General features: G+C 53.0%; 1 protein-coding gene across 4 annotated transcripts, besides 5 other annotated features; it reads left to right on the top strand.

Moving 5' to 3' along the window:
• The first annotated feature begins 3,564 nt into the window (after positions 1–3,564).
• Positions 3,565–8,382, top strand: DOK2 (docking protein 2). Of its 4 annotated transcripts, NM_003974.4 has the most exons (5): positions 3,565–3,716; positions 4,745–5,026; positions 5,267–5,354; positions 6,398–6,582; positions 7,324–8,382. In NM_003974.4, the coding sequence occupies exons 1-5, from the start codon at positions 3,654–3,656 to the stop codon at positions 7,942–7,944; spliced, it is 1,239 nt and encodes a 412-aa protein (NP_003965.2). In that variant the 5' UTR covers positions 3,565–3,653; the 3' UTR covers positions 7,945–8,382. The 4 variants fall into 4 exon arrangements, with proteins under 4 accessions (NP_003965.2, NP_001388201.1, NP_958728.1 ...); NM_001401272.1 differs by lacking the exon at positions 4,745–5,026; NM_201349.3 differs by lacking the exon at positions 5,267–5,354.
• Positions 5,548–5,647: an enhancer, noted in NCBI's record as "active region_27069". NCBI's record gives its function as "activates an Ori minimal core promoter by ATAC-STARR-seq in GM12878 lymphoblastoid cells {active_cell/tissue: GM12878}" and the evidence as "EXISTENCE:reporter gene assay evidence [ECO:0000049][PMID:35858748]".
• Positions 12,568–13,396: an enhancer, noted in NCBI's record as "H3K4me1 hESC enhancer chr8:21761370-21762198 (GRCh37/hg19 assembly coordinates)". NCBI's record gives its function as "activates a minimal SCP1, AML or CMV promoter by ChIP-STARR-seq in naive H9 embryonic stem cells {active_cell/tissue: H9 hESC(naive)}" and the evidence as "EXISTENCE:reporter gene assay evidence [ECO:0000049][PMID:30033119]".
• Positions 19,724–19,783: a silencer, noted in NCBI's record as "silent region_18973". NCBI's record gives its function as "represses an Ori minimal core promoter by ATAC-STARR-seq in GM12878 lymphoblastoid cells {active_cell/tissue: GM12878}" and the evidence as "EXISTENCE:reporter gene assay evidence [ECO:0000049][PMID:35858748]".
• Positions 19,904–19,953: an enhancer, noted in NCBI's record as "active region_27068". NCBI's record gives its function as "activates an Ori minimal core promoter by ATAC-STARR-seq in GM12878 lymphoblastoid cells {active_cell/tissue: GM12878}" and the evidence as "EXISTENCE:reporter gene assay evidence [ECO:0000049][PMID:35858748]".
• Positions 20,044–20,193: an enhancer, noted in NCBI's record as "active region_27067". NCBI's record gives its function as "activates an Ori minimal core promoter by ATAC-STARR-seq in GM12878 lymphoblastoid cells {active_cell/tissue: GM12878}" and the evidence as "EXISTENCE:reporter gene assay evidence [ECO:0000049][PMID:35858748]".

Genomic DNA, 26,084 nt, shown 5'->3' with positions numbered 1-26,084 from the left:
CTGCCTGGATTGGTTTCCCTTCAGATCGTGAAATGGCTGGCTCACTCTCCTCATGGACTTTTCAGCTCACTTGTCACCTCTCAGAGAGCCTTTTCTCACCACCCTCTTGAAAGTTGTCCCCTGTGCCTATCACTATCACAGCATTGATCACTGTCCAAAACTACATATTATTACTCTTTCATTATCAGTCCCTCCAACTAAAAGCAGACATAGTATAAACAAGGATTCTGTCTATGTTGTATCCCTAGTACCTCTGCACAGAGTAGATGCTCAGTAAATAATTGTTGAGGCGGGGCATGGTGGCTCACACCTTTAATCCCAGCACTTTGGGAGGCTGAGGGGGGTGGATCACCTGAGGTCAGGAGTTTGAGAGCAGCCTGGCCAACATGGTGAAACCCCGTCTATACTAAAAATACAAAAAATTAGCCAGGCATGGTGGTGTGCGCCTGTAATCCCAGCTACTCAGGAGGCTGAGGCAGGAGAATGGCTGGAACCCAGGAGACGGAGGTTGCAGTGAGCCGAGATCGTGCCACTGCATTACAGCCTGGACAACAGAGTAAGACTCCATCTCAAAAAATAAATAAAAATAAATTTAAAAAACTGTTGAATGTATTAACTTCTTTATGTCTCATTCTAGGGTGCATGTGGGTTTCATATGAAGACATAAAGCATTCTAAATATTATGTCACTGTTAGGTAACATGTTATGTTATGTTATGTTATGTTATGTTATGTTATGTTATGTTATGTTATGTTATAGGCCCTTCCTCTCAGCGGGTTTCTAGAACTGGGTTCTCTCTTTCCTTAGTACTGAGAAAAGTGATAGACTTAATGGAGAAAGGGTGGGGGGCTACAAATGAAGCTCAAGAGACTGGCATTGTCCCCCTCCCACACCCCACAGTCAGGGACCACTGGGGGTGGAAGGGGCAGGGATGGGGTCCTTCAGAATACACGCTCACTAATTCTTTCGCTCAGTCCTTCACCCGTCTCAGGCCCACATCAGTTCTCTGCCTATCCTATACGTACTTACCTGTTGTGTGCCCAGAACTACCCCTTAGCTAGCTTCCCTACCTGCACATCATTTGAGGGTTACCTAATCCCCAAGCCGGCCCAAGGAGTCAGACACAGTCTCCTCTCCTCCTTCCTTTGTTGCCCCAAAGACAAGGTCCCAGCCCTCTTATGTTAGGATTGGGTTGCTAATCACTGCAGCAGAATAGTAATGAAAATTTCTTGGAGCTGTGGTTCCTGACTCCTGCTGAGAGAAACTGTTGTAAGGGACAGGATCCCAGTGGCTTAGAATGAGCCACAGGTGGGGTTTGGAGTGCCTTTTCCTTTCCCGTAAAAACAAAGACAAGCCAAGAGGCACCCTCAACTCCTTTACAGTGCTTTTTCTACACATCATTGGTGCCTGTGGACCCTAAGGGCTTCTCATTCTGTGCGCTTCTGCTGTGTCTTGGAGCAATGTCTCTGGGCTCCTGTTTACAGGGTTTCCCCATGGCTAGGCAGAAGGTACTGGGGTTAGTGCTTCTACATCAGGGTCGCCACAAATCCTGCTAGGGACAGTTGAAGGGGCCTAGAAGGACTGCAAGGGTGTTGCTCTTGGTATATACTCTGCTGCCCTATCTTCTGCAGTCAACGGCTACCGGAGAACTCCTCCAGCTTCCATAAGCAAGGGATGACAAGGGAGTGTCTGGATTGCCTGGGGTTCAGGCCTCCGGGTTTAAACAACTTTCAAGTAATCTGGTAAACTTGGGTGCCCCCCTGTGGTTCTGAGTGGAATGTGTCCATTTTGCCTTCAGGGAAGGCGATCAGGTTAGCAGGGGACATCCTCTGTCACCTTGCTACTCAGTGTGCTTTGACCCACCCACCACCGGCAGCATCTCAGGGCTCATTCCAGACCTACTTTATTGGAGTCTACTTTGAACAAGATCTACATGTTACAGTTTGGAAGGCACTGCTCTGGCAGCCCCTAAGATGGCCATAAAGCCCTCCTCTTCTCACTCCCTGCACCAAAGACCATGCAGCTCCCAGGCAGAGTTGACTCTCCTTAGGGACTAAAGAGGAAGATTAGGTCACATCCCATTTCCATACCCCTAACCACTTCCCAAGGTGTGCTTTTCCCAAAACAGTATGCTTGGTTCTCCCTTGAGCTTTGGATCAACCTCTTCAAACCCAGGCATCACGGCTGAGGGCAGTGAGTTTGAAGTGACTCATCCTTGTCCTCACAGAGCTCATGACATTCATTTTTTTCAAGCTTATTTGGTCCAGTCCATGGCATGTACAGCAGAAGGCCTAAGCTGTGCACGGTGCTGCTCGCTCCTTGCCACGGTAACTGAACCCCTGTTGTAGAGGAAATGGGCCTGTTTATATAAGCACCTGTTATGGGATTAACCCCAAGAGTGTTGGTCTGAGTCTCAGTTTTTTCCAACCCTTCTGCACTGTGCCTCCATACAGATTGCTTCTCTAAACCATCTGGCTTTAAGTTAAACTTCTCTGAGCAGCTTGGATTTCCCCACAGCAATGGATCTTTTTGCATGGATCTGGATTCCATTTAGGGGCCCTGCAAAATGTTGAATTAAAGATCAGGAGCCCTGGTCTCTACTTCTTCCTCTGCCCCCAACTACCTCTGTGACCTCAGGCAAGTTGCAAATAAGTGTGTTCATACCTGCCCTGCCTTTGTCAAAGGATGGCGTGGCTGATGAAAAGTGTGTGCCTAGAAGCTTTGCGAGCTACGAAGCACTTTCGGTAACTCTGAACCATTTTCAAAATGTATATGAAAGTGATTGCTATTGAAACTTAAGATAATTTGCAGATGAAACCTAAGCATCTTTCTAATGCTCAGGAATGCTTGCAAGAAGGCAAAAATCCAACAGTTGAGATGTACTTGGGGAGTCAGTCCCTTCTCCAGAGGGGATGATCATCTTTCTAGAATCTTTACAGGGTTGGTGTGAGTGTGTGTTGTTGGCAGACAGGGAGTGCTCGCATGTAGTTAAACGGTTGCCTCTCTCTCTCTCTCTCTCTCTGTGTGTGTGTGTTTGTGAAACTGGTATCTGGTTAGGCCCACATGAGCTGTCTTATGTGTCTCTCTGTGCAGTGCCGTGTGTGTCATTCAGCTGTTAAGCGTTGAGAGACCTGGGTTCTGGTTTGGTGACCTTGAATAAATCCCTCAGACTTTCCAAGCCTGTTTCCTTATTTGTAACTTAGTGGTTTGTCCCTTCCAACTTGCGTACAGCTTGGAGGGGGGGGCCTTCACTACTGATTTCACTGTCTAGTTTGGTTTCTGGGTCTCTGTTCCAGTGGGCCAGCCACTCTTTGCTGGCGCCTCCCTGTGCCAACTTCTGTACCTGAATTGTTGCTCACTGAAGAGCTGGCATTTAGCTTTTTGGAAATTGTCTCTAACTCACTGGAAATGCAGGAAGCTTGAGTATAAAACTCACTCAGAAAAAAAAAAAAAAAAGAAAAAAAAGAACACACACTCAGAAGAAACCGCAGGGCCTATCAGCCTGTCGTCATCGAGCAGACTAGAATAGTATAGAAAACCCTAGGCAGAGAGGAAATGAACTTCAGAGAAGGGAAACACACGGCTAAGAAGAGAGAGGCAAGGGCAGGAGTGAAGGAGAGAGCTGAAGCCTGGGGCTCCGAGATGGTCAGAGGATGGGAGACGGGGCAGTGAAACAAGGCTTCTTGTATCTTCAGCAGCAGCAGACGTTTGGAAAGGTAGGAGTGAGGCTGGGCTGGGGTTGGGCAGGGGGCCTGGGAGGCTGCTAGAATTCCTGGGTTGGAGAGGGAGTTTCATATTCAAAACCCTTATAGGTCTGACTGTGCACCCACCAAGTTAGACCCAGAGCTCAACTTTGGGAGGGCTCTTTTCCTACCCGACGCTGTCTCCTGAACCAGGCCCCAACCAGGTCCCAAACTGTGCTCCTTACTGAGGGCTGTTTGCCCTGGGTGGGGGTGGGGGATGTGCTGCTTTCATCTCTTGCCTCTTTTGCTCTCTTGCTCTATGTTGACTTCTTTTCACCGGACACCTTGGAAGGGAATGGAAGGGGCAGCTGGAGGGACAGTTTAGGATGACAATAGAGGTTCCTTCCCAACCCCAGTGGGGTGCATGTGGCTGGTGTTCAGCTTGGGCTGGGGCCTCTGGGGGCCTGGACCCCAGCCGGCTGTCCATCCTCTTTCCCCTTCCCTGGCCTCCTTGAACCAGGAAGTCCTCGTCCCCTAACCAACACTGGGGGGCACACCTGTCTCTCTCTCATGGCCCAACCTATCAAGGAATGAGGCAGCAAGGTTCAGGAGGGTGGAGAGAAGTTCTCCTTCAGGATTTCGCACAGAAGGAGAATGAGGTCTCCAGCCCGGGTCACACGCCGCCCTCCTCACTCCCTCCTCTGGGCCTCGGCCACTGCCCCGCTTTCCTCCCCAGACTGGAGTCCACTGCGGTGGGCCTGTTTGGCCTTCTTGCAGCCTGCTTTGGGCTCATCCCGGCGTTGCTTTCTGCCTGGGCAGTCTCTGCTCTTGCTCGTGGGCCTCCTTCTCGGGGCTGGCGGCTGATCTCCGATTTTCTAATTCCTGCAGTCACTGTCCTCTTCTCTGCCTCCCTGGGTCTCATGTGATCTTCACCTCTCTCTCCCCATCTCCAAGTGGCTGCCCCAGTCCCCCTCCCACGGTTCCTCTTCTCCCCTTGGCTCACGATCTCCCCGTCTCTGGGTGGCTCCCTCCCGCCCCCGCCTCCCACGCCTCTGGCACAGAAATGGCGCCGCTTCGGCGCCTCACTGTATGGAGGGTCGGACTGCGCCTTGGCCCGGCTGGAGCTGCAGGAGGGCCCGGAGAAGCCTCGTCGGTGTGAGGCTGCCCGGAAGGTCATCCGCCTCAGTGACTGCCTGCGGGTGGCCGAGGCCGGCGGAGAGGCCAGCAGCCCCCGGGACACCAGTGCCTTCTTCCTGGAGACCAAGGAGCGCCTGTACCTCCTGGCGGCCCCTGCAGCGGAGCGCGGCGACTGGGTGCAGGCCATCTGCCTCCTGGCCTTCCCCGTGAGTCGCGCGGGGTGCGGAAAGGGCAAGGGGGCGTGCAGGCCGAGGGTGTTAGATACTTCCTGTGGGCAAGTGTTACAGGTGTCAAGGTCAGGGTGATGGGGTGCTTCCTCCATGTGGGGGGACCCGAACCCAGTGTGCAGACAGAGCCAGCAGGTTGAGGTGGCCTGAAAGAAGGCCTGGGCCAGAGGGGGGCCTGGGGATCGGGGAAGGTGATGAGACGGGGCGCCTCCTCCCTAGGGGCAGAGGAAGGAGCTCTCGGGGCCAGAGGGAAAGCAGAGCCGGCCCTGCATGGAGGAAAATGAATTGTACAGCAGCGCAGTCACAGGTGAGGGGGCGGGGGCTGCCCTGCTCTCCCCTGGGGGCTCTCCCCAGGGTGAGGTGGAGAGGAGGTGTGGGCTGGCTAGCTGCTGGCCCCGAGTCTTCCTGCCTTGTGGTTATCCCCAGCCTGGGCCAGCCCCGTTATCAGCCTCTCCTTCTCGCTTCCGGGTGCAGCCCAACGTAGGGAGCCTACCCTGCCTTGAGTCTCTCCCTTGGTTCACCTCATCTTACCTAGGGCCTGCTGGTGGGAGAGGGGAAGGCTGGGGGCCCAGGTGAGGGTGCTGCTTTTTTCTATTTTTGAGACGGAGTTTTGCTCTTGTCGCTCAGGCTGGAGTGCAATGGCACAATCTCGGCTCACTGCAACCGCCGCTTCCCGGGTTCAAGCGATTCTCCTGCCTCAGCCTCCTGAGCAGCTGGGATTACAGGCGTCGGCCACCACGCCTGGCTAATTTTTTGTATTTTTAGTAGAGTCGGGGTTTCACCATGTTGGCCAGGCTGGTCTCAAACTCCTGACATCAGGTGATCCACCTGCCTCAGCCTCCCAAAGTGTTGGGATTACAGGCATGAGCCACTGCGCCTGGCCCCAGGTGTTGCTTTTGAGGAGCTGGTGGAGGGAGGAGAAACTTTCATCTGCCTTCCATCTAAGCTTCACCCCCAGGGCCCCGGCAGTGGGAGGGCAGGGCCAAGGCTTCACCTGCAGCTGTGACCGTAGGGACTAGGGTGGTGGCTGGTTTGGGGTGAGAGATGGGGTGGGGAAGACAAGACTGTGGCTCTGGCGACAGGGGCAGGAAGGATGTGGGCACGAGGTTGGGGTGGATGTGGGTAGGGGCGTGATGCCTACTAGGGTAGGGGGTGGAGGTACCTGGCCTTTTGGGGAGTATGACCTGGCACAGAGCAGCTCAGCCTCCAAGACCCAGGCAGGGGGCCATAAGTGTGTGGATAATACTTTCTAGAAAAGTTCTGGTACGCTCATTTAGAACTGGGCAGTGGTGAGGCAGGCCAGCTGTTTCCCATTAACTGCCTTCGCCTTCTCTCTCTTCTTCTCCCCAGTCGGCCCCCACAAGGAATTTGCTGTGACCATGAGACCTACAGAAGCCAGTGAGAGGTGCCACCTGCGGGGGTCCTATACCCTCCGGGCTGGGGAGAGTGCCCTGGAGCTGTGGGGTGGGCCCGAGCCAGGGACCCAGCTGTACGACTGGCCCTACAGGTTTCTGCGGCGCTTTGGGCGGGACAAGGTGAGTGGGAAGCTGCATCAGGGCAGGTTGAGAGAAAGGATAAGCTACGAACAAAGAGGGGTGAGAAGCAGCGAGGGGATGGGAGAGACCAGGAGAGGGAGATGGAGTGAAGCAAAGAATAGAGTGACAAGATGGCAGAAGTGGAGTAGAAGGAAGGAGAATGAGAAGAGGTGGAGAGACCGTAGAGGGGTAAACAGCGTCTGAACTAGTGCCTAGCTCCATCCTTGAAATGGTGGCAGTGAGCAGGAAGGGCCTGGAGAGGGGAGAGGAGAGAGCCAAGTCTCTGCCTGTAGGGGAAAGCACAGAGGGCAGAGGAGGCTCCAGCAGTTCCCATGAAGGGAAGCTGGAGGTCCCAGGGCTTGGGTTAGGGATGGGGTTTAAGAAAGCATCCCTAGCTGGGCGCGGTGGCTCGTGCCTGTAATCCCAGCACTTTGGGAGGCCGAGGCAGGTGGATCATGAGGTCAAGAGATCGAGACCATCCTGGCCAACATGGTGAAACCCTGTCTCTACAAAAAATACAGAAATTAGCTGGGCGTGGTGGCATGCGCCTGTAGTCCCAGCTACCAGGGAGGCTGAGGCAGGAGAATCGCTTGAACCTGGGAGGCGGAGGTTGCAGTGAGCTGAGATTGTGCCACTGCACTCCAGCCTGGAGACACAGTGAGACTCTGTCTCCAAAAAAAAAAAAAAAAATGCACCCCTGCCCTGTGGCCTGGCCAATAACCTGCTTTCTCCCTGGTCCAGGTAACCTTTTCCTTTGAGGCAGGCCGTCGCTGCGTCTCTGGAGAGGGCAACTTTGAGTTCGAAACCCGGCAAGGCAATGAGATCTTCTTGGCCCTGGAAGAGGCCATCTCTGCCCAGAAGAATGCTGCACCCGCTACACCCCAACCGCAGCCAGCCACAATCCCCGCGTCGCTGCCCCGGCCTGATAGCCCCTACTCTCGGCCGCATGACTCACTGCCGCCGCCTTCACCCACCACACCGGTGCCTGCTCCACGGCCTCGGGGCCAGGAGGGGGAGTATGCCGTGCCCTTCGATGCGGTGGCCCGTTCCTTGGGGAAGAACTTCAGGGGCATCTTGGCAGTCCCTCCTCAGCTCCTGGCCGACCCTCTGTACGACAGCATTGAGGAGACCCTGCCCCCTCGACCTGACCACATATACGATGAGCCCGAGGGAGTGGCTGCCCTGTCCCTCTATGACAGCCCGCAGGAGCCCCGGGGTGAGGCATGGAGGAGGCAGGCGACAGCTGACAGGGACCCTGCTGGCCTCCAGCATGTCCAGCCAGCCGGGCAGGATTTCTCTGCTTCTGGCTGGCAGCCAGGAACTGAGTATGACAATGTTGTACTAAAGAAAGGCCCAAAGTGACAGAGGCAGCAGAGGGATGGTCCACCGCCCCTTGGCTTCTGCTGGTGACTCCTCCTGGCCACTGCATCAGAAGAACCTCCTCTGCCCCTTCTGGAGCCCGAGGCCTGGCCTGTCTTCGTTGGGGCTGATAAATTGCCTCTCCCAGGGCCTGCTGGGTGAGTCACCATCCCAAAGCAGGAAGGGTGCCCTGGAGAGAACCACCCTCCTCCTACTCTTTTTCCACTTCCTCCTCTTTCTTTCCCCAGCTGAGGAGGAACCTGGGGCATTTAGGGCAGAGGACAAAAGGATGTCAGCAATTGCTTGGGCTGCTTGGCTATGCAAGCCTCCTGCCTGCTGATGGCCACTTCAGGGACAGCCTGGGCCCAGGCACCCAGGGGGATGGCGGCAGCTTCCTGCACCTTTCAGATTTCTTGGTGGCATTAAAGCATTTTCAGAACATTTCTGTGTGGCATGAATGCTGTGGGAGTGAAGTCTCCAACTGACCAACCTTGATCACATCCTCTCCCAGCTGCAAGATCCCCCTGGGGCCTAGGCTGAGCCCCAAGCATCTGCTCACAGAGGCCTCTAGAAGTCAGTCAGGGTGCCCTGGGAATAGTGTTCAAGTATGTCTCCCTTTTGCTGGGAGAAGGTCAATGTCAGAAAAATGGTGGGGGAAGCACGGGGGAGCGGGGGGCGAGCCAAAGTGCAAGGAAGGAAATAATTGGATTGATGGAGCCTCTTGTACACCAGGAGTGGGAGTCACCAGGTGTGTGGTCCTGGGCCCTTTCGCTTCCCTGAGATTTCTGCACATCTTCATAAAATGAGGGGGTTGCCCCATGTGGGCAAGGAGGAGCCATCCAGCTCTGTGATTCCCATTGGCTCTGGGTTCCTAGGTCCCCACACACCATTTCCCCACAGGTCAGCCTGTGTCCTTGTGCTTGCTCCTCTTATCAAAACCTGCTTTCCCAGTAGGGTGTGTCCATGGACTTCAGCTATCAACCCAGTCCGCCGACAGCATGGGCACTGTTTGTGGGAGGCTGTAGACTGCATGGCCTGTGAGAGACACACTGCCCAGAAGGGGATGAGATGAAACAAGGCACAGGTGTCTGTCACAGAGTGGGTGTGAGTGCCACAAGGGACCAGACAGGGCCATGAGTGCCAGAGAGGTAACTATTTGTTGGGAGCGCAAGAAAGGCTTCATATCAAAGGTACCATTTAAGGTGGGCATTTACGGGTGGGAAGGAGTTCCATGGAGATAAAGGGGGTGTGAAGGAGCATCTTGGATAGGAATGGGAGTGTAGGTGAAACCACGGGGAGGTACGGATGTGTTGCTTTCGGGACGGAGTTCTACGCTCAGAGTGCGGGTAAGGTGACACAATCTAGTTGGGAAGGCAGATTCTGACTGTATTAAGGGGAATTTGTACCTAATTAGAGGGAAAGGTGGAACGACTAAAGGCTTTTGAACAGGGAGTCCCATAAAAGCTGAGCTTTAGGGCAATAACCCGATAGCCCTGTGGAAGGTGGACTTGGGGTGGGAGGGGGTAGGTTGGGGCTGAATTGAAAAGGGGAAATTCTGCCAGGCACGGTGGCTTACACCTGCAATCCCAGCACTTTGGGAGGCCGAGGAGGGTTGATCATGAGGTCGGGAGTTCAACACCAGCCTGTCCAAGATGGTGAAACCCCATCTGTACTAAAAATACAAAAATTAGCTGGGCATGGTGGTGGGCACATGTAATCCCAGCTACTTGGGAGGCTGAGGCAGGAGAATTGCTTGCAGTGAGCTGAGATTGCACCACTGCACCCTACTGGGTGACAGAGCAGGACTCCGTCTCAAAAAAAAAAAAAAAAGAAAAAGAAAAAGAAAAAGAAAAGGGGAAATTCATCTGGGCACCGTGGCTCACACCTGTGATCCCAGCAACTTGGGAGGCCAAAGTGGGAGGATCACTTGAGCCCAGGAATTCGAAACCAACCTGGGCAACATAGTGATGAGACCGCGTCTCTATAAAAACAAACAAACCAACAAACAAACTTAGCCAGGTGTGGCGGTGCATACTTGTAGTCCCAGCTACTTGGGAGGCTGAGGCTGGAGAATCATTTAGCCTGTGCAACAGAGCAAGACCCTGGCTCAAGAAAAGTGGGAAAGGGAGAAGTTCAGAAAGGACTGGATTCAAAAGATGGTGTAGAGCTAGCACCTGTGGATCTTGGACTCATAGTGGATGTGGAACACAGAGAAAGAGGGTTTCTAGAGAGACTCGGGTTTTTTTTTGTTTGTTTGTTTTTCCTCCTGAGATAGAATCTCACTCTGTCACCTACGCTGGACTGTAGTGGTGTGATCTCGGCTCACTGAAATCTCAGCCTCCCGGGTTCAGCAATTCTCCCACCTCAGCCTCCCGAGTAGCTGGGACTGCAGGCGTGCACCACCACACCCGGCTAATTTTTTGTATTTTTAGTAGATATGGGGTTCCACCATGTTGGCCAGGCTGGTCTCAAACTCCTGACCTCAGGTAATCTGCCCACCTCAGCCTCCCAAAATGCTGGGATTACAGGTGTGAGCCACCACGCCAGGCTAATTTTTGTATTTTTTTTTAGTAGAGACGGGATTTCACCATGTTGGCCAGGCTGGTCTCAAACTCCTGACCTCAAGTGATCTGCCCACCTCGCCTCCTAAAGTGTTGGGATTACAGGCGTGAGCCACCGTGCCCGGCCTGAGACTCAGGATTTGGGAACAAGATGAACTTAGTTTCTGATGCGATGAGATGGAGATGGCTAGTATTGATCCGGCAAGACGAGTCCTGAAGCTGGGTGGGAGAGCTAGCGCTTAGGAGGGAGAGGGGCGTAGACTTAGACATGGACGTTGGCCTCCCAGGTGTGCTGTGACCTCTGTTTCTCCTCTCACCGTGGCCTTTTCCCTTGTTGAAGGAACTTGAGCAATGGATCAGCTGCTTGGAGAGACCCAGTGAGGGGCCTTCCTGTCTGTGTGGAAGGTGCCCCCTGGTACCCTCCCTTTCCAGCCTCTGGATCACTAAAGGCTGGAAGGCCCCACTTCCAAGGATTTTACTCTTCCCCCTCTTCAGGCCAGCAGTGGGAGTTGGGGTTTCTCTTTGGCAAGGTAGCCACGTTTCCGATTTCCTAAGGTGGCATTTGAAGTGGCTGTCCTGGCTTAGCCCGGCAGGGGGCGGTGTTAGCCTGTGGAAAAGGCCACTGGGGGGCTTTGCCACCACCAGCCTTGGGGGCTTGGCCCTGAAGGAAGGCATTTACTACCCGAAGGGCTTGGGGATAATCTGAGGAATCTGCATGTCAGAGCTTGTCCCTTCAGAGCCTCAGAATCCCACTCCCAGATGTGTGGACCCTGCCTTCAAGAAGTTTGGGGTCCTAAGCTGGACATTGCCCTTTCGTCCCCTCTCGCCACTTTCCAGATCTAGGGACTTGGGTTCTTCCATACTAATGCTTTCTGTGCCATGCAAGGGGAAGTGGTTGATTAGGGCCCTTGGGAAAGGTGGGGTGAGGGCTGGAGGGACAGGGGAAGTAGCTTTTGGGGAAGTTGGGAGGGGTAATGAAAGTCCTTAAGACAGTTGTTGAGAAAATGCTGATCATGCCATCAGGGTCGCTCTCAGAAGATTTGATCCAAGGGGTGTGCCACCCTCCAGAGAATGGTGTCAGTGCCACTACAGCCAGCCTCAGCTGCGCCATGGTCATCTGTAATGTGTACCTTCCTTCATTCAACAAATGTCATGGGCCAGGCATGGTGGCTCATGCCTGTAATTTCAGTGCTTTGGGAGGCCGAGGTGGGAGGATTGCCTGAGCCCAGCAGTTTGAGACCAGTCTGGACAACATAGGGAAACTCTATCTCTACAGAAAAATTAAAAATTAGCTGAGTATGGTGGTGCTTGTTTGTAGCCCCAGCTACTTGGGAGGCTGAGGTGGGAATACTGCTTGAGCCCAGGAGGTTGAGGCTGTAGTGAGCTGTGATTGAGCCACTGCACAGCAGCCTGGGGGACAGAGTGAGACCCTATCTCAAAAACAAAAACAACAAAAAAGCAAATGCCCTGGAGCATCTGTCATGGACCAGTCCCGCCTAGGAGCTGGGGAGCAGCACAGACCCATCCCACCCTCGAGGGGCCTACAGTGTGGAGTGGGCAGGCAGATGTTCACTGAACACAGGAATGAAGGAGCTTGCTTGAGGGATCACCCTTCTCAAACAGACACACGGTGGTGAGGGCCTCCTTGGAGGGTTCTTTTCTTTCTTTCTTTTCTTTTTTTTTGAGATGGAGTTTCGCTCTTGTAGCCCAAGCTGGAGTGCAACAGTAAGATCTCGGCTCACTGCAACCTCCACATCCCAGGTTCAAGCAATTCTCCTGCCTCTGCCTCCTGGGTAGCTGGGATTACAGGCACCCGCCACCACACCTGGCTAATTTTTTGTATTTTTAGTAGAGACGGGATTTTACCATGTTGGCCGGGCTGGGCTGGAACTCCTGCCTTCAGGTGATCCACCTGCCTCGGCCTCCCAAAGTGCTGGGATTACAGACGTGAGCCACCACGCCGGGCCTCCTTGGAGGGTTTCTATGCCACCAGGATGCTCAGGGGCAAATTCATATGTAAGGAAACAGCTGCCCTCAAAAGGGGACAGGGCAATGTCACAGCAAGTGATTGATCCACCCAGAAGGGCCTCTTGAAGGCTCCAAGGTCCGAAGTCAGACAGCTGTTGACACCATGAGGTTTGCTGTGACCAGGATTCTTATAAACTGGTTTCATTGCTAGTTATTATGCAGAGGTGACATCGGGGCAGGTAAGGATGGCTGCATGACTGGCATCTAGCATAGAGATGTGCGCACGCAGCACACAACATCATTTTTCCCGTTCCTTTTCTGCTCTGCTTCTCTTGCCTCCCCTTGGATTTTCTTTTTCCAAAGCAGAGAAGTGGGGTGTGTGTGTGTGTGTGTGTGTGTGTGTGTGTGTGTGTTGGCCTGTGGTCCATGGTGTAAGCCTGTGACAGTGGGGGTGGCCAGGCCGCCCCCCACTCCCCACCTCGTGAGTTCTCCCCCTGGAGCTTCAGAATCTACAAAGGCCCAGCTCCTTGGCTCTCTCTGCTCCCGCAGGCTCCTCCCTGACGACTCCAGTCAAGTTTTTGCTGTCACTGCCTTTCATCCGTGATGCTAACCAGCCTCCTGCCTCCTGCCTCGTGGGTGCAGACTCAATTAGCCAAGGTGCCCACAGCCTGCAAGGGCCATTTATAAAACCAGCTGGGGTGGCTGGAGACCTCAGGCAGGACAGGGCTGGGAAGTAAGTGCGGGAGGTCCGTGAGCTGTGAGGAGGAGGGAGAGGAGCCAGAGGAGCTGGGAGGGGGTATCTGATCTGATTAGGCCTCAAGCTGGTTTCCCCATGGCAGGAGGCTGTTCATCATTGCCCTGCTCCCATCTTCAGCTCCCGGGCGGATCCAATGCCGGCCAGCATGGAGCAGAACCCATCAATCTCCAGGCTCTGGCCAGGCCTGCTTCTCTCCTCCTTGCCTCCCTGCCACCTCTGGAACCCTGTGCTTTTTTTTTTTTTTTTTTTTTTTTTTTTTTTTGATGGAGTTTTGCTCTTGTTGTCCAGGCTGGAGTGCAATGGCATGATTTTGACTCACCGCAACCTCTGCCTCCTGGGTTCAAGTGATTCTCCTGCCTCAGCCTCCCGAGTAGCTGGGATTACGGGCATGCACCACCACGCTCGGCTAATTTTGTATTTTTGGTAGAGATGGGGTTTCACCATGTTGGTCAGGCTGATCTCGAACTCCTGACCTCAGGTTGTCCACCCACCTCGGCCTTCCAAAGTGCTGGGATTACAGGCGTGAGCCATCGCGCCCGGCCTGCTTTTTATTTTTTTGAGACAGGGTCTCGCTTTGTCACACAGGCTGGAGTGCAGTGGTGTGATCTCGGCTCACTGCAACTTTGACCTCCGGGGCTCAGGTGATCCTCCTACCTCAGCCTCCCAAGTAGCTGGGGCTACAGGACAGACCTGCCAACCATACTCAGCTATGCACCACACCCAGCTAATTTTTTGTATTTTTTTGTAGCGACGGGGTTTTTCCATGTTGCCCAGGCTGGTCTCAAACTCCTGAGCTCAAGCCATTCACCAGCTTCAGCCTCCCAAAATGCTGGGATTATAGGTGTGAGGCACTATACCTGGTCAGAACCCTCTTCTTGACTCTAGCTCCTGGATCCCTGAGCCAGAGATGGCTGGTCGGGGGCGGAGTAGGGCAACAGACTGGGAAGCACTGGGTTCTGACAGACTTGTGAGGGAGATGGGGTCTCAGTGCTCTGCTAAGTAATTCGGGGACCTGCATCCAGGGCGGGGTTGGCCTTGTGCGTCCAGGTGTTTGATCGGGGAGGGGTGGGTGGGGTGGAGTGAAAGGTGTGCCGGAGGGGGCGCCAGCATTTAGGATGATAAGAATGTTCTTGAGTTTATACAGCGCTTTCTGTTTCCAAACTGCTTTGGGGGCAGTTGAGCGTGGACTGTTAAGCACACAGACCATAGCCTGACTATCTGGGTCCAGATTCTGCTTCTGCAACTTGCTAGCTGTGTCTCTGGGTAGCTGCATCTGTTTCCACATGTGAAAAATGGAGATGATGATAATATGTGTCTTGAAGGCTTGTGGTGAGGATGAAATTGAGTGAATAAATGCCCAGCTCGGAGAAGAGTGCCTGCCACACACAGAGCTCCGGGATTATCCATGATCTCATTTCACCTTCAACAGCTCTGCCAGGTGGGCAAGGCAAGAAATCCCTGTCTTACCAACAAGGCAATGGAGGCATAGAGGAGCAGAGACCTCCTTGTCTTTGGAGGGTGAACTGAGGCTTTGCGGGTGGAAGGACTTGGTTGGGAAGGAGCTAGGCTTTTGATAGGAAAGCACAAAAGCGGAAGAGTATTTCAGGAGAGGTGAAGAGAGCAGCATGAATAGCTTTTCAGCTGCTGGACATGGGGGCTTTAGCGGGGGCAAATTTGCACACCAGGGCAGAGCAATGCTCGAGTGGCCTATTATGCCCAGGAATGGGGGAGCCGGGAAGGGAAGATGCTTCGTAGACTAGAAGACCTTTGGCTTCAGGCAAGGCTGGAGAACAGGCAGCCACAGCGGGGGCTTTCCTCCTTTCATCTGAGCTGCCACATCCATGCACGGTGCAGCAGGTGGCTCATCGGGGTGCAGAGGCAGGTTCCTTGCTGGGCAGAAGTACCTGGTTCATTTGGCAGGGCTCACCAACTGATGTGATCAATGCAGACCCCTGGGGCCGCTGCCCTGCAGCCAGCCAGAGGAGCCCTGGGAACAGTAACAGTTCTGAGAGGAGGAAGCTGGGGAGGGGGTGGGCAGAAAGGAGCCAAGAGAACATTCAGAAGGAGTTTGCCATCTCTCCTACTAGACTGCAAATGTTCAAAGGGCAGGGTTCATACTTTACCCAGTCCATTGTTCTATCCTTGACACTTAACACAATGCCTGGCACTAGGTAGGTACAAATAACTGTTTCTTGATTGGAAAAATAAACGAAGCCCACTTTGCCTTTGAGGAACACAGGTGATCTCCAGTGTGTAATGAGCTGTGGTGCTCTGGAGGACTCTCTCTCCATAAATACACCCCTACAGATGCCAAGAATCCCACCATTTACATTTTGGGAAGAGTGCCTTCCCTCTCCTAGCAGGCTTCTTTTAAAATGCAGATGCCGTGGGGTGAGGCATCACTGGAGTGAATGAGGTCTCCAGGGCCCCCAGAGGGTGAGAATGGTCTAGAGCAGGACCTGCAGTTGGGGCCTGCTTGGTGCTGCATCTCTGATGCACTCTCAGAACCTGGGAGCCAGGCTTGCGGATGGAGGCACAGACAGGGCATGGACACTTTTCCCACCTCTCTCCCTGTTCCTATGTCCTCACCTCGGCCCCCATCCTGCAGTGGCTGGGGCCTTCTGGAAGCCCCAGGGGCTGAGAAACTCCTCATCATGGAGATTTCAAGGAGCATGATGTCTGATCCAGAAAGGTCCTAATAGCACTTCAGCCTGAGGCCTTATTTTTGTACTTATGGAAACTGAGGCCAAGTTGATTTTTAAATCCCTCTCAGGTGTTTTACATTTTATGAGAATTTGTTTATGGTTGTGCTTCAGGGAAAGGACTCAATCACCAAAGTCAAGGCTTCCTGCATCCACAGGGAGATTTTTTTTTTTTTTCCTTTTTCCTTTTTTTTTTTTTGAGGCAGTCTCACTCTGTTGCCCAGAATGGAATGAGGTGGTACAATCTCGGCTCACTGTAATCTCCGCCTCCCAGTTCAAGCAATTCTCCTGCCTTAGCACCCCCAGGTAGCTGGGATTACAGGCATGCACCACCACACCCAGCTAATTTTTGTGTTTTTAGTAGAGAGGGGGTTTTGCCACGTTGGCCAGGCTGGTCTCGAACCCCTGACCTCAGGTGATCCACCCACCTCGGCCTCCCAAAGTGCAGGGATTACAGGTGTGAGCCACCATGCTCAGCCAGTGGGAGATAGTTTTTGATCTTTTATGCAAGTGAGGGAGAGCAAAAGGGAAGGAGATTTCTGATTCCCTGTTCTACCTTCCTGCAAGGGCTACTATCACTGAGTAAGGGTTTCTTCCCCTCCCTAAGATCATCACTGCATGGCTCTGAGCAAATTCATTGGGGAGTGAGTTAATTACAGGCAGCTGAGGCTGAGCTGCTCTTTTCCTGCTGGTTACCTTGCTGCCCATGGTGGAAGGAAAGCTCTGCGGACTTATTCTCTTTCCATCCTCCTCTGATGACTACTCCCCCTATGTTACCATTGACGTTGATCCCTGAGGGGTAGCTTTCCCTAGCAGGCAACTTCAGAGTAAGGTGCAGTGGCCAACTCTGGGCTCCAATTCCTGCTTCCACCTACAAATAAGAACCATTTGGCCCATGAGTATGCACAAGGCCATACAGGCTCAGGGCTGATGGGATGAAGAAGTGAACTGGGATGGGTCTGGTTGAAGGGGAAGGAGTGGACACACAAAAGAACAACCAGAGATGGCGTCTAGGAAAGGAACCAGAGGTTCCATGGTGATGAAGGGTCATCTAGAAATGGCTCGAGGGAGGGCAGCTGGGACAAGATGATCCTGCTGGGTCACAGGGCAAGGAGAAGCCTCAAGAGGTTGCTGGAGTAGTTACTTAAGCCAGGTTCCAGCCCTGCCAAACTGCCTGCAAGACTGATTTGTCTGGCTGGGTGCAATGGCTCATGCCTGTAATCCCAGCACTTTCGGAGGCCAAGGTGGCCAGATCACCTAAGGTCAGGGAGTTCAAGACCAGCCTGGCCAAGATGGTGAAACCCCATCTCTACTAAAAATACAAATTAGCCAGGCGTGGTGGCGCATGCCTGTGATACCAGCTACTCTGGAGGCTGAGGCTGGAGAATCGCTTGAGCCTGGGGAGTGGAGGTTGCAGTGAGCTGAGATCCCACCATTGCACTTCAGCCTGGGTGACAAGAGCAAAACTCCGTCTCAAAAAAAAAAAAAATCGGTTTGTCTGAACCTGGGGATTATGGCTAAGAAGCAATGAGAAAAAATTTGGTTTTCTCAAAGACTGTTGGCTGAAAGAGAATGGGAACTTGGCTAGCTCTGGGGTAGGAGGTGGGGATGGAGGAGGGGTTGAGGACTCACAGAAGCATGGCCAGCCAGGGTGGACTGGACACAGAGCACTCAGTAGGCTTTTGTGGGCAGGCCTGGCAGGCTGGAGATGAGCCTTGCGGGAAGTAAGGACTGGTGTCCAGAGCCAGACATTCAGGGTCTGGGGCCCTCAGGGCCACTTGGGCCGAATTGACCAGCCACACTCGGCAAACCCAGCCTGAACCTATAGCAGAGACGGGGCCAGCTCTCTGCAGCGCATTCGGATCTTCAGTTATTATCAGACCCTCCAGACAGCCAATCTCTCTTCTCTTGGTCCTGACTTCTGGCTTGGCTGGCCCAGCACAGGGCCCTGTTCCCCAGCAGACAAAATAGAGCTGCCTCCTAAAAAGAAAGTCACCTTTGACATTTTTTTTTTTGTTAGATGGAGTCTTGCTCTGTCACCCAAGGCTGGAGTGCAGTGGTGCGATCTCACTCACCTCACTGCAACCTCCACTTCCCAGGTTCAATCCCAGATTCTTCTGCCTCAGCCTCCCAAGTAGCTGGGATTACAGGTGCCTGCCACTACGCCTGGCTAATTTTTGTATTTTTAGTAGAGATGGGGTTTCACCATGTTGGCCAGGCTGGTCTTTGACTTCTTTGATGGGGAAGGCAGGTGAGGCCAGCAGTAGGGCAGAGGGCAATGTGCTTGGACATTGTGGCTTGTTCATCAACCCATAACCTCTGCAGGTCCGTGACAATGGACACTAGACAGGGAACTAAATTAGGAGCTCTAATCCCAGGTCTGCCACTAACTGGCCATGGGCCGTCCAGCAAGTCTCTTCCGTCTCTGGGCCTTATTCTCCCATCTGCAGAATGATAGGCCTGGATCAGGAGACCTTCAAAATTCCCATTAATGCTATATAGTCTTTTGTTTGGGGGAAATTGTCAGGATAGCAAGTCAGCAGGAATGACTTTGCCAAGAGGGAATGAGGAAAATATAGGTTCAAAGGCTTAACTGAAACCTTGTGGGGCTCTCTTCTGGGATTCGGCTATGTCCAGAGCAATGGTAGGGTGGGTCCAGTAGCATGAGGGGCAGTGGAGCTCCCTGGGACAGAACTTACCCTAAAGCAAGGAGATAGCACTGCAGGTTTTCTGTGCAAGCTTATGCAGCTTGAGCAATGAGTAAATTTAGGAGACACCATTTATAATGAGGGCTTAGGCAAGCATGAGAAACTTGACCAAGGCAAAAGAGCAAGCTGTCAGGTAGATGAGGTGCTTTGAGGATGGTATAGTGTCTACTGGGACACCATGGACAGCTGCACAGGCTGTGCACTGCACGAGTCCAGGTGGCACCATTAGAGCACAGTGGAGTTACCTCTGGGCATCTATCTCTAGGACTTATCTCTCAACACGCCTCTTTCACTTAGAGTTCTTAAGGCCTTTGGGCACACACTGCACATTTGGGCATTCATCTAGTTGAGGTTGAAACAGAGCAGGGAATGGGACAGTTTCATCACTTTGCTACAGGGTGCCAAGCACTGTCAGCCTCAGGAGTTTGGGAGTTGGTGGCGCCCACTGAACACCCAGTGAAGTGTAGAAGCAGTGGTCTCAGTGGACATGGCACCAGTGCCAGAAGACACAGAGCCAGCCCCTGGGGACAGCCACAAATACCTGGGAGGCATTTTTCATGGACTAGTTTCCTTCATTAGCAGGCGCCTGCAAGTGGCTGTAAAATCCAGCTTCACTCTTCCTGGGAAGCTGGTCTTAGAGCCATCTCCCAGTTCAGCTGCCTCTTCTCCCTCCCGTCCTCACTTGGCTGTGTCTCACCTGGGCTGGGTCCCAGCCAGGCTCACCTCCTTCAGCTACCAGAAACGTCTGTCTCCAAGCATGAATCATCCCTGAACTGAGCCCTGCCCGCTTCATGTAGCTTTCTTCCTTGTCTCTCCTCTCAGCCATTTGGCCTGGTCCTCTTTGTTACTTTTTTTTTTTTTTTGAGATGGAGTCTTGCTCTGTCTTCCAGATTGGAGTGCAGTGGCACGATCTTGGCTCACTGCAACCTCTGCATCCTGGCTTTACGTGATTCTTCTGCCTCAGCCTCCCGAGATCCTTTGATTACAGGTGTATGCCACCATGCCCACATAATTTTTGTATTTTTAGTAGAGACGGGTTTCACCACATTGGCCAGGCTGGTCTCAAACTGCTGACCTCAAGTGATCCGCCCACCTCGGCCTCCCAAAGTGCTGGATTACAGGCGTGAGCCACCGCACCCATCCTCTCTTTGTTCCTTTTACACAGGGAGTCATGGACATAGGGGTCTCCGTTACAGGAGGAAGTGAGAAAGCAGCTTCTGTTTACGGAAACCACAGTTAGCCGCAGAGACTGCCTTGTTACAGCATGTCACATTGTCCCAAATACTGGGTATGGGGATCTCCTGGGGGTGCAGTGGTCTTGACCCCTCCTGGGGCACTGGACTTCTTAGGATCCAGAACACTCCATGTTTTCCTTTGTTCCTTTCTGGAAAGGCATGGATGTTCTTTGTGTTCTGCAGATGAGGAAACTGAGCTCGCAGAAACTGGATGACTGGCTCCAGGCTGCCGGGGCTCCTAAGTGGCTGAGCTGGGACTTGGCCAAGCCCTTCCCAGCATGCCAGGCTGCCTGCTGGCCATGCTGCTTGTTACGGTCCCGAGGGGAGATTCCTTCGTTTGTGACATGAAGACTTCCAAGGGACAGTGGCAAGAGAACTAACTCCAGGGACTCTTCCCTGACAGCTGTGCTACGTTAGGCAAGTCACCTCACTGCTCTGAGCTGGGGTCTCTCATCTGTCACATAGGTTTAGAAACATGGGGTAGACCTTATGGGATTGTCACATGGCTTAAAATAAGATCCTGGGATGAGAGTGGAAGTCGTGTACCTCTATTGAATCGTAAGTCTTGATCATCCTTCAGAGTCCTGCATGGCAAGCAAATGTCTACATTTTCCTCAGCTCATGTCTCAGGGGTCATCGGAGTTTCCACGAGGCATCAGAATGAGAACAATGAGGATAGGACACAAGACAGGCCCACTGAGGGAACCAGGTCTAGAGACCCTTAGATCCACGTGCTGTGAGCTCAGCCAGCTCCCTTTAGGGCTTGCCAGAAACTGCACAAACAGCCAGTACCAAGCGCAAAAGTCCCAGGGCAGAGGGAGGCTTTGGTACCTGTGGGCAGCTGACATGACACCTGAGGGTTGGGCCCTGGCTCCTTTAAGAGGCCCCTGCCAGCCCCTGATGTGATTCAGGCAGGTGGACAGATGATGGATGGTCTGAGGAGGAGGGGATTGGAGCCGGAAGAAGGATGGGATGAAGAACTGACCAGTCGGCAAAATCTCCAGCAGATCAATGGAGACCATCTGGATGGAGAGGCTGCACTTAGGGGCCTGGCAGGGAGCGCAGGGGCTCCCTGGAGCCTGTTATATGCTGCCCTGCCCCCAACAGAAGAAAGCAGTTCCAGTTGGAGTCTCACCATGACTCTAGGGCAGCCCAGAAACCCTCCTTGCCGACTCTACCCCAGGCGAGGCTCTGTCTAAGATCCTGGGAGAGGTTGTGTGATCGGAGTGGATGTGCTGGCAGTTGAGGGTGTGCCCCAGCAACACTGAGCAGGTGGGATTGGGAGGGTGTCCTCCCATTGCAATGTCTGGATGCAGTCACATCTGAATGTCCCCTGGCTTGTCATTGCTGGTGTCCGTGGGCACCCTGAGGTCTCTGCTGGCTTGGGCCTTCAGGGTTTCCTTCTGCCCCCAGGAGATGAGGCTCAGAAGGAGGTCCAGGAGCATCAGCTCCAGGAGGTCCGGACCCGGGAGCAGCATCTGTTCAGATTGTCCTCTCCCCTGTGGCTGGGCGCGGTGGCTCACACCTGTAATCCCAGCACTTTGAAAGGCCTAGGTGGGTGGATCACTTGAGGCCAGGAGTTCGAGACCAGCCTGGCCAACATGGTGAAACCCCGTCTCTACTGAAAATACAAAAAATTAGCCGGGCATGGTGGTGCGTGTCTGTAATCCAGCTACTCAGGAGGCTGAGGCATGAGAATCACTTGAACCCGGGAGGCGGAGGTTGCAATGAGCCGAGATCGCGCCACTGCACTCCAGCCTGGGTGACAGAGCAAGACTCTGTCTACAAAACACAAAAAAGGCCGGGAGCGGTGGCTAATGCCTGTAATCCCAATACTTTGGGAGGTTGAGACAGGCGGATCACAAGGTCAGGAGATCGAGACCATCCTGGCTAACATGGTGAAACCCTGTCGCTACTAAACATACAAAAAATCAGCTGGGTGTGGTGGCGCTCGCCTGTAGTCTCACTTACTCTGGAGGCTGAGGCAGGAGAATCGCTTGAACCCTGGAGGCGGAGGTTGCAGTTAGCTGAGATCACACCACTGCACTCCAGCCTGGGTGACAGAGAGAGACTCTATCTCAAACAAACAAACAAAAAAGGATGTTCTGTACCCTGCTTCCCATTCAGAAAACCCCTTCCTCCTGTTCGGAATACTCCCAAACAGGGACAGGATTGGCTGAGCAGGCTGAGGTCCCCCCATGGAAAAGCCCCACCACCACTTTGCACATGGGACCTTCCTAAGTAGAGGGGCAATCTGACCACTGAAATCTCCATCACGCTCCCCTTCCCCAGCCTAGCCCCTCCACATAAGGACTTATTTTATCTTTGTCTCAAAAGCCAAGTGGAGCTGCTGGGCCTGGACTTGGAGCTCTGGGAAGCATGGCTTTCTAGAACAGGGGTTCCCAACTAGTGCCAGGGGTGGCCCAGTCCTCAGCTCCCAGAGGCCTCCTGGCATTTCATGGAGGCGTTACTAGGCCCATGGGTTCAGCACCCTCTGCTTTCAGAGGTCCCCCAGGCTAGCCTGTTGATTGGCTCCCTCAAAGCAGCCTACATCCTGGCCAGACCAGAGCTGATGAGGGCTATGTGGGTAGGAGATGGTGACTTGCGCCATGGGATGTTCCTTTGCCTGGGGCCCAACCACATTCTTTGCATGAACTAGATGCTCGGTAAGGATGACTTCATCGATCAACCCCTGACGGCCTTCACTCTGTAGAGTCCCCTGCTTCATCCTTAACCATTCCATCCTTTGCTATGGGGTCTGATGCCCAGAGTGTCAGTATGCTGGCTCTTCCAGGCAGGCACCTGAGATTCCAGGCCTAGTAACGCCTCCATGAAATGCCAGGAGGCTTCTGGGAGCTGAGAACTGGGCCACCTCTGGCACTAGTTGGGAACCCCTGCTCTAGAAAGCCATGCTTCCCAGAGCTCCAAGTCCAGGCCCAGCAGCTCCACTTGGCTTTTGGGACAAAGATAAAATAAGTCCTTATGTGGAGGGGCTAGGCTGGGGAAGGGAAGCGTGATGGAGATTTCAGTGGTCAAGACAGCTGATACGTCTTCCCCAGGAATCAGGGAGAGCTGAACTGGGCTGAGGGGTGCAGCTGGTGGCTGTGTGATGTAGGGACCAGACACCTATGTGCTGATCTGCTTTGAGGCACTCTGAGCAGGGTGGGAGAGGGTTCCCCAAATGCCTCCCCATATAATTCACCCATTATAACTTTAGTCTGTTGGCTCGTGAAAGATTTTACTATTTCCAAAATCTTCCCTTGTAAAATGCAAATACCTCTATAAAGTGGTCATGCCTTAAGTTCATTATCAGCCAACTCAATTTTTATTGTTTGAGCAGAAAATAGGTGACAGCCAGAAATTTGATCTGGATAGAAGAACCAATGTGTGTGTGTGTGCACACACGTGTGTGTGTGTCTGTTTTTGGGTTGAGGGCAACAGATGTAGTTTTTCATTCATTCAATCGATATTGATCAAGCGCTAATGAAACACTAAACAGTGTTCTTGGTTCTGGGGATAGAGAGTGAAAAAAAGAACAAAAACCTTTGCCCTTGTGGAATTTACCTTCTTTTGAGGGAGGAGGGCACTAAACAAAAAACAAATAAAATTTATGATATGTCAGATGGCAGTAAATGCTATGGAGAAAAATACAGCAGCGGGGAGGGATAGGGTTATGGCTGGGGGAGGGAGCAGACCTTCCAGTTGTGGGCTTGGCTACCAGGGGAGGACAAGCCTCTTTTTCTCTGCAAGCGCCAGGACTAGGGTACAGTAGGCAAGGTGTTCAGGACACAAAACTGAAGGGGGTCCTTGCTGGCCCTCAGAGGCTGCAAGTGCCCTGGGGCCTGCCCTCTGAGTTTGCCCATCCCCTTCCTCCGCCCAATGCCCCAACAGCCAGAGAACTCTCGGAGCCCAGTGGAGCGGGCTGTGGGGAGCCAGCCCCCTGGCAGATCACCAGCTGGAGATGTTCCCTGGGCTGGCAGAAGGAGGGAGTGAGTGGAGCTGGCAAGCTCTGGACTAGCCCAGATTATAGGGGAATGTGGTGCTGGCTCCCATGCATGGCTTATTACTCAGCCCTGTTCTGGGCAATTGCTCTTTTGTTTCACATCAAGATGGGGAGGGAGCGGAGCAGCACAGCCTTGTGGTGGGGCTTGGGTCACTCTGTAGCAGAAAGTCGAGGCTTGGGATGGTGTTGTGGGGGTTGCAGAGGGCATTTAGAGTGGGAAGGGTACAGGCTAGGTGGGTAAGGGCGTGTTTCAGAAGGTGCCTGGCCTCTTTCCCTTCCTGATTCCACTACTGAGGGTTTTCTTTGGGAAAGGGCAAGGGTCTTCTCCAGGGAAGGGGATAGAGAAGAAAATAGAGGCTTATCCCTGCCTCGAGGAGTCCAGTGGGGAGGTGGGCAGGTATTCAAGGTGTGGTATGTTAGGTGCTGAGGGGCTCACAGACACAGTGCTGGGATGTGGGGGCCCAGAGGAAGGAGGCCTGACTCTGCCAGGGCACCCAGGAAGGCTTCCCAGGGGTGGCGACAAAGGAGAATCCTTCATGAGAACCCACAGGGTCAAGGGACTGGAGTGCTGGACAAGGGACGGGAAGGGCTGGAAGGATCCTGGTGATGATCTGCCCCAATCCCTTTCTTTACTGGTAGCAAAACAGGCCTAGAGCAGGAAAGAGGATTTTTCCAGATCCCACAGCTACAGAGGGAGGACCAGAAACCTGGCCCCCAGGACTCTCAGTGCAGTCTTACCCTGTGGTTCTAGTAAAAGAATAACAATAGCAATTGCTTACTGAGCATTTGATCATGCCAGACGTTTACTGTTCTAAATGCATCCTATGTGTTAACTCGTTAATTTTCACAAAAACCCCTTGAGGTAGGGATAATGGCTATTACGTCCCCATTTTCCAGATGGGGAGCCTGAGACATGACACTTCAGCAACTTATTGAAGGTCACAGAGCTTCTATGTGGGCAGCAGGGATTTGGAAACCCTGCAGTTTGCTCTGGGGTCAGTGCTCTTACCCTTGGAGGTGACGTGGACTGCTGGGGTCTACTGATTTCCTGGCTAAGGTAGGGTGTGGCCCAGTGGCCCCTGTCTGAGCAGGGTTCTGGCCTGTGTGAGCTCTTCTCACTCCCAGAACCCTTCATGCTCCCCGACAGTCCTGTCAATTCTCCAGTGCTCCTGTTGCTTAAGACTTTTTTTTTTTTTTTCTGAGATGGAGTTTCGCTCTTGTTGCCCAGGCTGGAGTGCAATGGCGCGATCTCGGCTCACTGCAACCTCTGCCTCTTGGGTTCAAGCAATTCTCCTGTCTCAGCCTCCTGAGTAGCTGGAATTACAGGCATGCACCACCACGCCCGGCTAATTTTGTATTTTTAGTAGAGATGGGGTTTCTCCACGTTGATCAGGCTGGTCTTGAACTCCCGACCTCAGGTGATCCTCCCGCCTTGGCCTCCCAAAGTGTTGGGATTACAGGCGTGAGCCACTGAGCCCGGCCGCTTATGGCTTTTTGTAGATCCTCGGGGAGCGATGTGATGGCAGCTGAATACTGGTGAACAACTGGCTCTGGGTGTGGGAGATGGGAATGCTATCACATGTAGCATTTACTGATTTCCATGGTGTAAATATTCCCACCGTGGCCTATTTCAAGCTATCAATGGGATGTCAATTGGCTTACAAAACTCCTAAAAGATCTTGCAGTCGGCTCTCAGTACAGGCAGACTGTAGTATACCACTGTGACAGCCTCCCCACTTTGCAATACTGCCTGAAGACCCCCTAATCCCTTCCCATTGCTGCCTCACTCACCGCCTCTGATTAGACTGCATTCACATAAACGGGTATGATTTGAACATTCTCATCTTGGGAGGTCTGAAAACGGTTTTATTTCCTCTGCTCAAAAAGAAATAATAATAAAAGACTCATGGAGTGCTTCCCACTGTAATCATTTCCTGGAAGGGACTTTGGTGATTTAGTTCAAATCCTGGCTTTACAGATATGGAAAGTCCGCCCATAAAGAGTCTTCTCCAGGGAAAGAGTCAAGGGACTTGACCAGAGGCAGACAGCCAGTAACTCACAGAGCCACAGCAAGAAACCAGGGCTAGGGACCCATGGTCCCCTGGCTCACTCTTTTGCTACATCTTAGCGCCGTTCTAGGTTCATGGGGACGATTTGAAGGCAGATAAGAAATGCACCACTCAATTGGGAATATCCCAAACATAAAACA

This window comes from Homo sapiens, chromosome 8 (assembly GCF_000001405.40).
Source record: "Homo sapiens chromosome 8, GRCh38.p14 Primary Assembly".
Lineage (NCBI taxonomy): Eukaryota > Metazoa > Chordata > Mammalia > Primates > Hominidae > Homo > Homo sapiens.
The sequence above is the reverse complement of the archived record's forward strand: the minus strand, read 5'-3'. Positions and strand labels throughout refer to the sequence as shown.